At 40.2% G+C, this 13,267-nt stretch overlaps 1 annotated feature.

Moving 5' to 3' along the window:
• Positions 7,908 to 8,496: an enhancer, noted in NCBI's record as "OCT4-NANOG hESC enhancer chr7:24159385-24159973 (GRCh37/hg19 assembly coordinates)". NCBI's record gives its function as "activates a minimal SCP1, AML or CMV promoter by ChIP-STARR-seq in primed H9 embryonic stem cells {active_cell/tissue: H9 hESC(primed)}" and the evidence as "EXISTENCE:reporter gene assay evidence [ECO:0000049][PMID:30033119]".

Raw genomic sequence — 13,267 nt, 5'->3', positions numbered from 1 at the left:
AAATGTGCCTTATTCCATGAACATTAAAAAAAGAGGAAGGAAAGTTCTTAAACAGTACCGAGTCTTGGAAGAAATCCACAACACCTGGCACAAAATGTTTTAACACAAAAAATACAAATAAACTACGTTAATATTTGTGGAACACTGTGATGCCAATAGAGAATTTATTGCTCTAAATGTCTACAGTCTTTTTTTTCAGGGGAAATGATGTTCAATTTTAAAATTGTTAAATGGGGATGAAAAAGCAAGCCAGAATAAACAAGGAAAGAATAATGAAATTAAAAATCAACAAAATGGAGAAATAGAGACAATAAAATGTATCAACAGAACCTGTACTTAGTTCTTCAAAAATATAACAAATTCAAATATATTTCCAGTTCCTGCAAAGATGATGATTAGCTGGTTCCCCAACTTTTGCAAAGAAAACTTGTAATATAAGGAATAATGAAAAGAAATAAACCTAGAAATGGGACAGAGGAAGCTAAAGACTATTTTAAGCTGGTTTGAATGGGACATGCTGGAGCCTGGGGCGAGGGCCTACTTCTTATCTGTGAGAAGGTGAAGGAGGGAGGAGCTGCTCCTGTCCTGTTCTGTCCTCCACCATGCTACAAAAATCACAGCCTCAAGGCAGAAGGAGTACAGATGTCTGCTGGGGTGAAATCACGGTATACTCAAAGCCCTACTGAAGAGAGGACAGGCATAAAATGTATAAGAAAAAATAAAGAGCCAAGAATAATTAAGGCATTTTCAAAGAGGAAAAACAAAGGAAATGTGCTCTACCAGACAGAATTTGTTAAGAAGGTGCAATAGTTCATCAGCATAGCATTGATACAGGGATAGACAAATTGATCAATAACATAGAACAGAGCACCCAAAAATGAGATTCTTGCATATACAGAAATTTGATGGATAATAGAGGTGGCTTTGCAGATCAGTGGGAAGTGTAGGAAATGACTGTTTAATAAGTGGATCTGGGAGGAGTGGTCATCCACATGGAAAAACAAATGAAATAGAACCCTTTCTTCACACCATACCAAAAAATCAGTTCATGTAGATTCAGTGCTTAACGTTAAAAGCAAAGTTTTAAACTTAGTAGAAAAGGTAAATAGGTAAGTAGATAAGATATGGCCTCAAAATAGGAAAGAACACACACAAAAGTACTATGAAGAAATCTACTGATAAATATGATTATCTTAAAATTAGAAATACTCATTTAGCAATATATACCTTAATGAAAGTGAAAATACAAATTACAGACTATACATAAGCAATCTAAAGGTCCATCAACAGGAGAGTAGATACGTAAAGTATAAAATATTTACATAATGGAATATTATATATCTGCCAACATGAATAAACTGTAGCAGTAAGCAACAATATGGATGAATCTTAGGAACACATCTGGAGTGAAAAAAGCAAATCCTAGAAAATTAAGTAATTCTGTTACCCTTTCCTGGCCTTACAATCTGTGCTCAATTATTCGCAATTTGACAAAAACTCCATTCCAAATATATCTCAATTCCTTCCTGACCCATTCACTTAAGCCAACTGAATTAAGTATTTGTAGCACCAGGTTCTTAAGAAAGAGGCCTATTTCTCAGAGTTTCTTGGAAAGTATTGGTGCCACTCATCTGTCCATTATACTTCCTCTCTTGGGTCCAGGCTTTCCTGCTGGCATAGAAATGGTGGTAGGGACACTTCCTGGGTCATGACAGGATCCCCTAACTTCAAGAGCTTATTTGGAGAAAGCTAAAATGTCAAGACAAACGAAACATCCACTCTTTTTCCTGCTCTCTTTGATTCTGCTGCATCAGAAGTGAACCTCACTTCTCCAGGGCTCTATTTTTGCCTAGGGCTGGTTACTTGTATGAGGATCCCAGGGCTTCATTGATTGAGTGTAGCAAAATGTGGCAAGCTAGGAACCATTCATTTTGGCAGTCAGCAATTATAGGTGAGTACAAAGTGACCTTGCTTTTACCTTTCCAAAGTACCTTTAGTACAACAATCCTGCTCAACCCTTGATCTCTTTCTTTACTTCCCTGTGAAAGCACCATGCTCTTCTTGCAGGCTTTGCATTTGCTATTCCCCTGCCTAAAACAGTCTTTCTCCCTGTTTCCTTGTTACCTGGCCAACTCCTACTTGATTTTCAGTTTTCAGATTAGACATTCCTTTCCTGGGGGAGTCTTTCCTTGACTCCTCACAGCTGAGTTAGGAAACTGCTTGGTGTTCCTCTACTTATTAACATCCTAACACAGCTCTGCAGTTCTGCAACCTCACCAGCATAGCACAGTAGACTGAAAGATCCCTGAGGGCTGGAACTGCCCTGAAGATGTCGCCTTTCTTAATATCACCAATGCCTAGCACAGAGCTGGGTGCAGAGGAGGGACACAGTAAATCTGTGTTGAAAAAAAAGTGATATGAATCCAGTATTACAATATACTGAAGTAAATTCCTGCTGAGTTTAAAGACTTCAGCAATTAAGAATGAAAATAAAATTGGAGAAACTATATGGAATCTCTGTAGAGAGGAGAAACTCTTCTACATACTGAAAATATTGAAGCCATCAGAGAAAAGATGGATATTTGTATAAATATAAAAATGAAAACAAAATATGGTAAAATCTATTTAAATAAGTAGAAACGCAACAGAATGGGGGAAATGTGATAAATGTAACTGAAGTTTTGCATTCTGTATACATAATTGGTACATATATGTAAGGCCTTATTCTATAATCAGAAAAGAGAAATACATGCAAAAAATGGCAAACTATAAAAAATGCACTGCCTCAGTAACAATTCAAGAATGCAGATTTTAAAATCTTGGAGGTGACATCAAATTCCTGTTAAAATAAATAAAAATAATAAGCCCCACTGTTCACAATGCTGTGGAAAAATACAACGATTACTGTTGACATTGTAAGTTGCTTCAATCTGGAGAGCAATCCCGCAATATGAAAAAGAGAACCAGGAGATGTTTACATGCAACACTTTACAATTTCACTTTGGGAGGTACATCATGAGGAGTTAACCTAAACGACAGCTAAAGGTAAGTTGCATAAAGAAGTTCCTAGCAGGGCTGTTTATAGATTCTGAAAACTGGAAACAATCCAAGTGCCAATTGATAAAATTAGGGGATATAAATGTAATGGGGATCTATCAGGGTTGCATTAATCTGATAAGCTTAGGGACTGTGTCCAGCTGTGGAAGCCTGATATGAAGTAAGGAAAAAAGAAAAAGACAAAATCCAAAACATGTACATACTGGTTGCAGCCTCAAAAAGGTCAGAAGGTAATTCAGAGATATTACATTCTGCTCAGCTTTTAATCTTCCCTGATTCCTTTGTGAATAAAATTTCTCCCCCTTTCTTCCCCCTTTTATAAAGAAAGTTAAAAAAAATCTGACTATACAAGCATTTTAATTGGTATGCAATGTACATACAGTTTATCACTGGCTATTATGATTACAATCGTTATTATTTAATGCACCAAGGCCAAAACTGTTTTATTAAGTAAAAGCCAACTAATTAAAAGAAAGGGCACACAGTGGCTGCAAAAACACACATTCCAGCTTTCCGTGTACCAGAAAATTCTCTCCCAGCCACACTGCACACACACATCCTAGGGGGTGCCCTTCTGCAACCTCCTCTTGCTCTTCATTTCTGCTGCTCTTTTATAATTATGCAAGATTAGTTCAAATTGGTATGGATTATGCCTTGATATCTTTAAAGATACTTTAAAAGTCTAAAAAGGCAAAGCCAAGAATAATTCGGAGTAAGAGGGAGAACTGCACAGACTCACTAAGGAAGCAAAGGGGTACAAGGAAAGTGGCTGCCCCAGAGGCTGGTTCACCTCCAGAACCAGCTCGGTCCTAAGGGTTCCTCACCTCAGACAAGCTCCTCAGTCTCTCTGGACTTTAGTTTCCTCAGGTTTCATAATGTTGGGTTGGACTACATGACTTCTCAGGTCTTTTCCTTAAATGTTATCCTTCTTAGAGAATGGGGGAAGTGTGGTCTGCCACTTGCTTGACTCATGGTCAAGGAAACATCATTTCTCTAAACTTTGGTCCTACCTTTTTATCCTTTTTGCAATTCATGAGGTGAATCTGTTGATATGACATTATTTTTGGCCATTGTGTTTTCTTCTTTTAGAGTCCTCTGAACCATTTTTTAAAATAAGTTTTATTTTTAGAATAATTTTAGATTTAGAGATTCTGAAGCACCTTGTGACAATAGAGAGTTCTTTTAATACTTATGTCAAACATACAAAATACTCATAATTCTGGCTAAAAAAACAGTTACTTTGTAAAAGCTAAAATATTTCTACATTTTCTTTTACTAGAAAAATAATGGAGATAAAACAGCTGCTAATTAGGAATATACCATCTTGATTCATAACCAGTTTCTGGGCATAGTTAGGCAGCTAAAATGTTTCTTTTCTTTTCTTTTTTGTTTTAATAGCATTTCTCTCCTTTTATGACAGGAAAATGGCATAAAATTAAGCTGTTAGAAATCTCATTATATATAAATTTAATGTCAAATATTTAAATAGAAACAAACATTAAAATGTAAGTGATGAAATTAATTCTTTTAAAATGTTAACTTCTGTGAAAGAAGATCAAATTATTCACCAGTCATATTTCTATTAGATGTTCTCATAGGCTCTTGCTGCTTTATAGGAATTTCTGGAGCCAGCCATTTTGCATAGATTACATTTCTTAGAACTATTAGGGAGTGACACCTTAAAGAAATAGCTTGAAACTTAGGGACTCCCACTTGAGACATAAAGGTAAAAAAAAAAAAAAAAGAAATAAATGACATTTGACATACCTTCAATTAATAACAGTGAGTCTGCATTACTAATTTCCATGTACTATTCCTCACTTGCTAAAAACTTTCTTGCTTACTTTTCCTAGAGCTTCAATAGGATGTTTATAAATTCATTTTGCTTTGTTGTAGAAATTTGCACAATAATGGGCCTTATGACTCAGAGTTCCTAAATCCTGCCTCTGGGAAATTGCCATGTTCCCAAGGGCCCAGAATAACTTGGCTATTTTATAAGAAAAAAAAGTTTTAAATAACCTCTATTCAGCCTACTTGTTGGATATCTCTAAATTCCCTCTTCAACAATGCAGATTAACTCCATCCATCATAACCTCATATCAAAGCATCTACTGCCCCATCTCCCTTCCTCTTACACGCAGCTCACCCCTCTCTCTCCTCGATGCCTCCTGTGCAATTCCAAGGTCTGTTTCCATTTTCCTTGACTTATTCTGAGGCTTTACTAAATTAACTTCCACCCCTTCTCTGCTGTCTCTGTTACCAACTTTTTATATTCCTCAGTTTACTCTTTTTCTAATTATCCCCAATAAGAACATATCAGCTTCCTGCTTGCCTTTCTACCTTCCTGCTTTTCCTGACTGCCTTTCTGCCTTCCTGCTTTTCCTGACTGCCTTTCCGCCTTTCCAGACACTCCAATCCAAAAGCCATTATATGGGCCAAGCAAGGCAAGCATCTGGAGCGTCTGTGTGGAGGGCAGGGTGTGGCCATGGCCAACAGCAGGTGTTGGAGCCTAAATGGGATGAACGGGGCTCCTCCATTGAGGAGGAACATGAACAGGTTGGGGGTCCTGAGGTGGTTTGATGAGGAGCACTGGAGCCTGAGCTGAGTAAGGTGGGGGCCCACATGGTAAAGGGGGGACAGTGGCAGCCCAGAGTTGGGGTTTAGAGCAGGAGAAAGGTCAGGACCACATCTGCATGGGGCAAGGGTAGGAGAAAGTGATGCCTACAGGAGAGAGAGTACATACCAGGTTGGTTGATCCAACAGCGAAATATATTATGGATAACTGGAGCCAAATTTCTTGTTGTTAAATAAGGTGGTTACAAATGTGGTGTTGGATTGGAATTGGAAGTATTAGTATAAACGCATGGGTCTCAGTATGGAGAGATATAGGAACAAATATAGATCTGTGTGTGTGCGTGTGTGTGTGTGTGTGTGTAGCAATGGGCAAGCCCAGTGTGCAGATCTTGGTTTCCAAATACCATTCCCATTAAAAGGAACCAGTGCTACTTGAAGAGATGTCTGATTCTGGGGCCGGGACAGGGAAAGTACAGGATGGGTCTGGAAAATTAAATTATGTCAGAAAGTAAGGAAGAACTCAAAGAATAATGGGTATGTGTCAAAGGGATACAGGAGCCAGACTGAAAGAGCTCCCACTGGCCAAATCTAGAACCATGTGGAGCACCAAAATAAGTAATATCAGTAGATTACAATTCATTGAATACAATAGGAGTCAGATGAATGAATGAATGAAAAAGCTATTTCTTACAACAATATAATGCCAACTGATAACTGTAGAAATACTAATAGGATTAGAAAATCATTATATGATAATTATCATAGTAACAATTGAGCCAAGAAACATATTGTTGCTGAAACTGATGAATACAAATTTGATGAGAAACAAGATTTTTACATAATTTTAAAATTGTCCTATAATCTTCCAGAGTGTCAAGGTCATGATAGCCAAGGAAGACTAGAAATGGTCCTGGACTGAAGGAGATGAAAGAGACATGACAGTTAACACAAAACATGATCTTGGGCTGCATTATTTGCTATGAAGGATGCTATTAGGATAACTGGTGAAACTTCCACAGGTCTGAAGTTTCGATGATATTAATGAATCAATATTAATTTCTTGATTTTGATGGTTGTATTATGTCTATGTGGAAGAATGTTCTAGTATGTAGCAAATACATGCTAAAATATTCCAAAGTCATGGTATCAGGTCTGCAACTTAAAAATGATTCGAGGGGGAAATGTTCTCCATATGCTTCTTGCAAGATTTCTGTACATTTGAAATGACTTCAAAATTAAAAGAGAAAATATGAAAAAGAATGTGCTGATTGGGGATCTTTGGTTGAAGGCAAGGAAACTGATAGTGAGCAACTTGAAAAATACAGAAGTATTTTTACTAGCAGGAGATTGGATAGCCAGAAGGAAGACCTGAATAAAAAGAGAGCCTCGGGAAGGACAGGCAGCAGGCAGCTCTGGGAATCTCAGCCACAGGCAGGCTGGGTCCATCCCATCCTGAGGGCCTCCTCTCAGCATCTCCACCTGGGTAGGCTTGAGCTTCAACCTTGGCTTGCCTCCCGAAGTTCAGGTTTGCAAGATGAGAAGTTCCACTGCTCCATTTGCCTCTCCCAGTTCCTGTTTCCCCTTGGTTTCATGATCTTGTCAGCCCTTCCATACTTTCAAGAAGCTTTTGTTTTCAGCAGGAGGGCTTGTCCAAATAATCTAGCTGACTGTATTCCCAAAAAGAGAAATCACTGCTTTATTCTCCTCAGGGCACTAACCACTTTTGAAAAATTCTGTATATTTGTTTCCGTTCTGTCTCCCCCAGCAGACTGACAACTTGCTCGCTATCATACCTTCTCACAGGGCAGAAACTAGCATGAGCACAGAGGACCTCCTCTATCAGACACCCTGCAAGCCTCCAAAGACTGACCCAGGTGCTTCCTCTTCACGTTTCTCAAGACAGTAAGAATGCATCCATTCTTCCACACATCACTCTTGAAACCATCTTCAAGATCTGGCTTCCCTGGGCTCACTGCCCCAGCTGCTGCCTTTCAGTTTCCATGCACTTCCATCTCCACCCAGTACATGCTGGGAATGGTTCTTCTTTCTTTGGAAAATTCCCCTTTGTCTTTAATACCCTGGTCAAACATGACCTGCTCTGCGAAGCTTTCCCCATCATCCTTAGCCAAGGCCCCATAGCATCTTCTACCTATCTCTACTATTGTATTGAAATTCTTCATTTATTTTTCTGGTCCCCCACTGTAATGTCGTATTCATCATTGTATTCCCAATACATAGTAGAAGGCTCACAAATGTTCACAACATCCTAGAGCTTCAGAGCAGATTGGTGCTCTCTGGTCAAACTCATCTCGAGTATTATTGACTCTCAAATTACCTAGGGAACTCATTAAAAATGCAGTTCCTGGCTTTGGTCCCAGGATATTGCAATTAATCCATTTTAAGTGAGGGCCCCAAAACCTGTATGTTGAACAAACATCCCTGGTGATTCTGGAAGAAATTTTGAGACGTGCCATTCTAGACCATTTTAAACCCACAGCCCATTTCTCATCCACTCCGGCCTGGGTGAGCCACTCTGTGGGATGTGAGCCTCCGTTAAGCCAGGCAGATGTCCCTAACAGTTTCTCTTTGTCGTGCTGATGTTTTGATGCCTGTTGCCACTTTCTTAGTCAGATTTCCACAGCAGCTTACTAGAGGCTTCAATTTTGCTGAACTCTGCTTTAGGTAACTTTGCATCCTGCATCAACTCATACTCGCTTTGACTTTTAGTTTCCAAACTTCATGGTTTCTATTACCAGGTCCAGATATAGCTGAGACTCCCCACTCTGCCCCTGCTCCCCTCCACATGTAATTTCCTATCATAACCCATTAGACCTCCTGGGCCCTGCCAGCCACTCTGCCCAAGGTTTCCAAAGGCCCCGACCTAAACTTCTCATATCCACAGTTCTTTCTGAAACACTGTGACAAAAGTCAAGATGAACGGAAACTTCGAAGAAAAATCACTTCTTTTTCAGTTATAAAATTGGCTTTTTAACTTTCACTGGATGCTGGTTTAAGGAACTGAAATATCTGAGTTCTCAGGCTTCATTAAGCAGTGTCCCTGTCATGTCCAGGGAAAAATCCCAAGGCTCTTTTGCTTCCTGGGCTGTGACACTTTTTATCTTCATCCCCCCATGAACCCCACTAAATTTGTTTTCTTATCTGCTTTCCCCAGGAACATAAGCAAGCTAGATCTGGCATGGTCAACCGGTATCACGATGGTCCCAGCAGCACTCCATTCTCAGGCATTTATTCTCAGGGCCCAGTCAATGTCATAAGTGGTATGATCTGATCTAAGTCATCACGTCTGGGCTACAGGACGCTAAGAAATTATGCTGATTATCATATGGGGAAAATAAATGAGAGTCTCCAACTTGCAAAAAATTGGTTTGTATTGTTCCCAGAAACAAGCTGAAATGTCCACAGAAGCCAGAAGGATAAGACAAATGTGTGAATTCGGTAGATCTAAGAAAATAAGACTTAGTATGGATTGTGGGGAAATGAGAGTAAATCTCACCAAAAGGTATTCAGATTAGAGAAAAAACTGTGCTAGAAGTTCCTACAAAATAAAGTCTGCTGACCTGCCATCCTGCCACATTCATCTATATCCTTAAAAAATAAATTTGTTATGTTTTTAGCTAGGAATTTTAGTTAGATTCTAGGTTAAGCTACAAATGAAAAGACTTTAAAATTCAGTGGCTCAAATATGACAGACATTTATTTTTATAACAGACTAGAAGTAGGTGGACAGTCCAGGGCTGTAGGCAGCTCTGCTCCATGAGTACTCTCAGGTATCAAAGGTACAGCTCAACCATCCTCTATACAGCCTTCCACCTGTATCAGGGTTTGTTCCAGCTGCCAAAGGCAGGAGAAAGGCATGTCCCAGAAGTTGTACACAACACTTCCACCTAATTACACAGGCTGTAGTGGAATACTACTAAAACCCATGGAGGGAGTTGTAATACTAACAGACAGAAAGGAATAATAGATACTGAGGGGTGGCAACAATTTCTGCTGTCCTAAGTTTTTGAGTAAAAGCCAAGTGAATCCCTGGGACTTGCTGGCAAGACGGCTGAATAGGAGCAGCTCCGGTCTGCAGCTCCCAGTGAGATCAACAGAGAAGGCAGGTGATTTCTGCATTTCCAGCTGAGGTACCCGGTTCATCTCATTGGGACTGGTTGGACAGTGGGTGCAGCCCACGGAAGGCAAGCTGAAGCAGGGTGGGGTGTCGCCTCACCCGGGAAGTGCAAGGGGTCAGGGGATTTCCCATTCCTAGCCAAGGGAAGCCATGAGAGACTATACCAGGAAGAACAGTGCACTCTGGCCCAGATACTGCACTTTTCTCATGGTCTTTGCAACTAGCAGACCAGGAAATTCTGTCCAGTGCCTGGCTCGGTGGGTCTCACCCCCATGGAGCCCAGCAAGCTAAGATCCACTGGCTTGAAATTCTCGCTGCTAGCACAGCAGTCTGAAGTCAACCTGGGATGCTCAATCTTGGTGGGAGGAGTAGGTGGTTTTACCCTCACAGTGCAAACAAAGCCACCAGGAAGTTCTAACTGGGCAGAGCCCACTGCAGCTCAGCAAGGCTGCTGCGGCCAGACTGCCTCTCTAGGCAGGGTATCTCTGAAAAAAAGGCAGCAGCCCCTGTCAGGGAATTATATAAAACCCCCATCTCCCTGGGACAGAGCACCTGGGCAAAGGGGCAGCTGTGGGCACAGCTTCAGCAGACTTAAATATCCCTGCCTGACAGCTCTCAAGACAGCAACGGATCTCCCAGCACAGTGTTCAAGCTCTGATTAGGGACAGGCCACCTCCTTAAGTGGGTCCCTGACCCCCATGTATCCTGACTAGGAAATATCTCCCAGTAGGGGCCGACAGACACCTCATACAGAAGAGCTCTAGCTGGCATCTGTTGGGTGCCCTTCTGGGACAAAGCTTCCAGAGAAAGGAACAGGCAGCAATCTTTGCTGTTCTGCAGCCTCTGCTGGTGATACCCAGGCAAACAGGGTCTGGAGTGGACCTCCAGCAAACTCCAGCTGACCTGCAGAAGAGGGGCCTGACTGTCAGAGGGAAAACTAACAAACAGAAAGGAATAGTAGCAACATCAGCAAAAAGGACGTCCACTCAGAGACCCCATCCAAAGGTCAGGAACATCAAAGACCAAAGGTAGATAAATCCATGAAGATGGGGAGAAAACAGCACACAAAGGCTGAAAACTCCAAAAAACAAAATGCCTCTTCTTCTCCAAAGGATCACAACTCCTTGCCAGCAAGGGAACAAAACTGGATAGAGAATGAGTTTGATGAACGGACAGAAGTAGGCTTCAGAAGGTGGGTAATAACAAACTCCTCCAAGCTAAAGGAGCATGTTCTAACCCAATGCAAGGAAGCTAATAACGGTTAGACGAATTGCTTACTAGAATAACCAGTTTAGAGAAGAACATAAATGACCTCACGGAGCTGAAAAACACAGCACAAGAACTTCGTGAAGCATAAACAAGTATCAATAGCCAAATCGATCAAGCAGAAGAAAGGATATTGGAGACTGAAGATCAACTCAATGAAATAAAGTGAGAAGACAAGATTAGAGAAAAAAGAGTGAAAAGAAACGAACAAAGCCTCCAAGAAATATGGGGCTATGTGAAAAGACCAAATCTACATTTGATTGGTGTACCTGAAAGTGACGGGGAGAATGGAACCAAGTTGGAAAACCTAAGTCTATCTCCAGTCTTAAAAATGCATTTATTGATAAATCAATTCTGAATCAATCAGCTTTTGATCTTTGGCAGTTAATTTTAACTCCATGTGAATGAAGAGAACTACTCACAAATTCACCTGAGCACCAGGAAAGGCAAGAATAATGTAAGGAAGGCTGCATGGTAATGAGCCTTAAGAGCCTCATTTGATAGGTGTAATAAAAGCAATTAATTACACTTATTACTAGTACATAACACACTGTGACAATAACTGCACAAAAAAGGGTACAATTCGAGGCAAATGGAAAGGGCAGAAATCTTATTCTTTATTATTTAAGCACTTATTGTTGCTGTTTTTAACCCATCTTATAATACAAACCTAATGGATATACATAAACCACAGAAGGCAACAAATTAGACCTCAATAAGAAATTTTTTAAAACGACGGCATGGTATAATGATATGGAGACAAAAGTGACTCCATCTTGGATGCTGATTCATTATGTTGGCTTCTCATTAGCCGCAGTCCCATGCATGCCTCCTGATTCCTACTTTATTTACTGTCCTTAGTATAAGAACATGTCAACCTTGATGTTATGGCACGAATCATAGTCTATGATGCACACAGCATTCTTGCCTGAATTCTGAAGGGTCACCTTTAATTGTCCCTAGGAGAGCACATCCCCCATTCCCTGCAGCATATAAGCCCTGGATCTGGGTAGTAACAGCACCAGGGTCTACTTGTCTTGCTGCTCATGAACTTCTATCCATAAGTTCCCCAAATAAATGACCCTTTAGTGACAAACTGGATTTCTCTGCCTCATCCTTTGTTTCTCAGCTCCTTCAGCATTTGGGAGCCACTTCGCCACTTTCACCGAAAAGATGGGTCTAAGAATGAACTGACACAGCTTTGATAGTGAGTTTTAGTCGGTGGCTGTGGTTTAGTTGGTTCCTGTGGTTCCTAGACCACAGGAAAGACTGATTGGCTACAAAATCACAGCATTCCTAAGATTCTTTTTATTTGATTTATATTCCCTGGATTTACCTCCCTGGACATGTCTTGCATTTTCATGTACCCATGATTACCCATGATGTTGTCGCTGCCTGCAGAACCTCTGCTATACCTACCTCCTTACCATAAGCTTCCATGTCCGAGGCCTGGTGGTTACTTCTTCTGGGGTTTTCCCAGATTTTCCCCAGCAGTTAGTCACATTTTCCTCCTTGTTCCCACAGTCATACTTATAGTAGATAGGATCAAAACTTATGCTGGATCCCATTGATTTTGTGTTAGTATTCCCTTCAACAGTGTCCACTCATTAAGGGCAAGGCCTATGTTTCCTTTACTAACCTCAGTTTTTCCCTCTTCCTAGGATAGTGCCCCATACATAGCAGGTGTTTAACAGTGTTACCAAGTTTGCAAACAGAAGTTTACATTTCTAGCTGCCCACTATACTGTAAAATGTTCCTAGCTGCCCATTCTAACCCATCATCCACTGAACTTCCCATACCTACCCAGGGAGCCAGGTATAAGGAGGTTCACTGCAGCATTGCTTATTGTTGTGAAAAGCTAACAAAACTTAATTTATCTATTACAAAGGTCATGTTAATATAGACTGTTTAATTCATTCCCTAGAATACTCTATAGCAGTTAAAATGAATAAATTGATCTGCATTTATCAATCAATAAGAATAAATCTCAAAAAAACATTAAATTTTAAAAATCAAGTTCTTGAACAATATGTAAGTATGATGCTATTTGTGTAAATTACATGCATTATCTTTTCAATAAAAACAGGTATTTTTTCAAAAATAAATTTTAAAAATAAGAACATTTCCCTCAATACCATTTTCCCTCCAGCTTCTGTGCTTTTTACAACTCACACCAGTATGAAGTTCAGGAATTGGAAGCAAAATTCCATAAGAAGGAGAGACCAGAGCCCAGGA

Source organism: Homo sapiens, chromosome 7 (genome assembly GCF_000001405.40).
Source record: "Homo sapiens chromosome 7, GRCh38.p14 Primary Assembly".
Classification (NCBI taxonomy): Eukaryota; Metazoa; Chordata; class Mammalia; order Primates; family Hominidae; genus Homo; species Homo sapiens.
The sequence above is the reverse complement of the archived record's forward strand: the minus strand, read 5'-3'. Positions and strand labels throughout refer to the sequence as shown.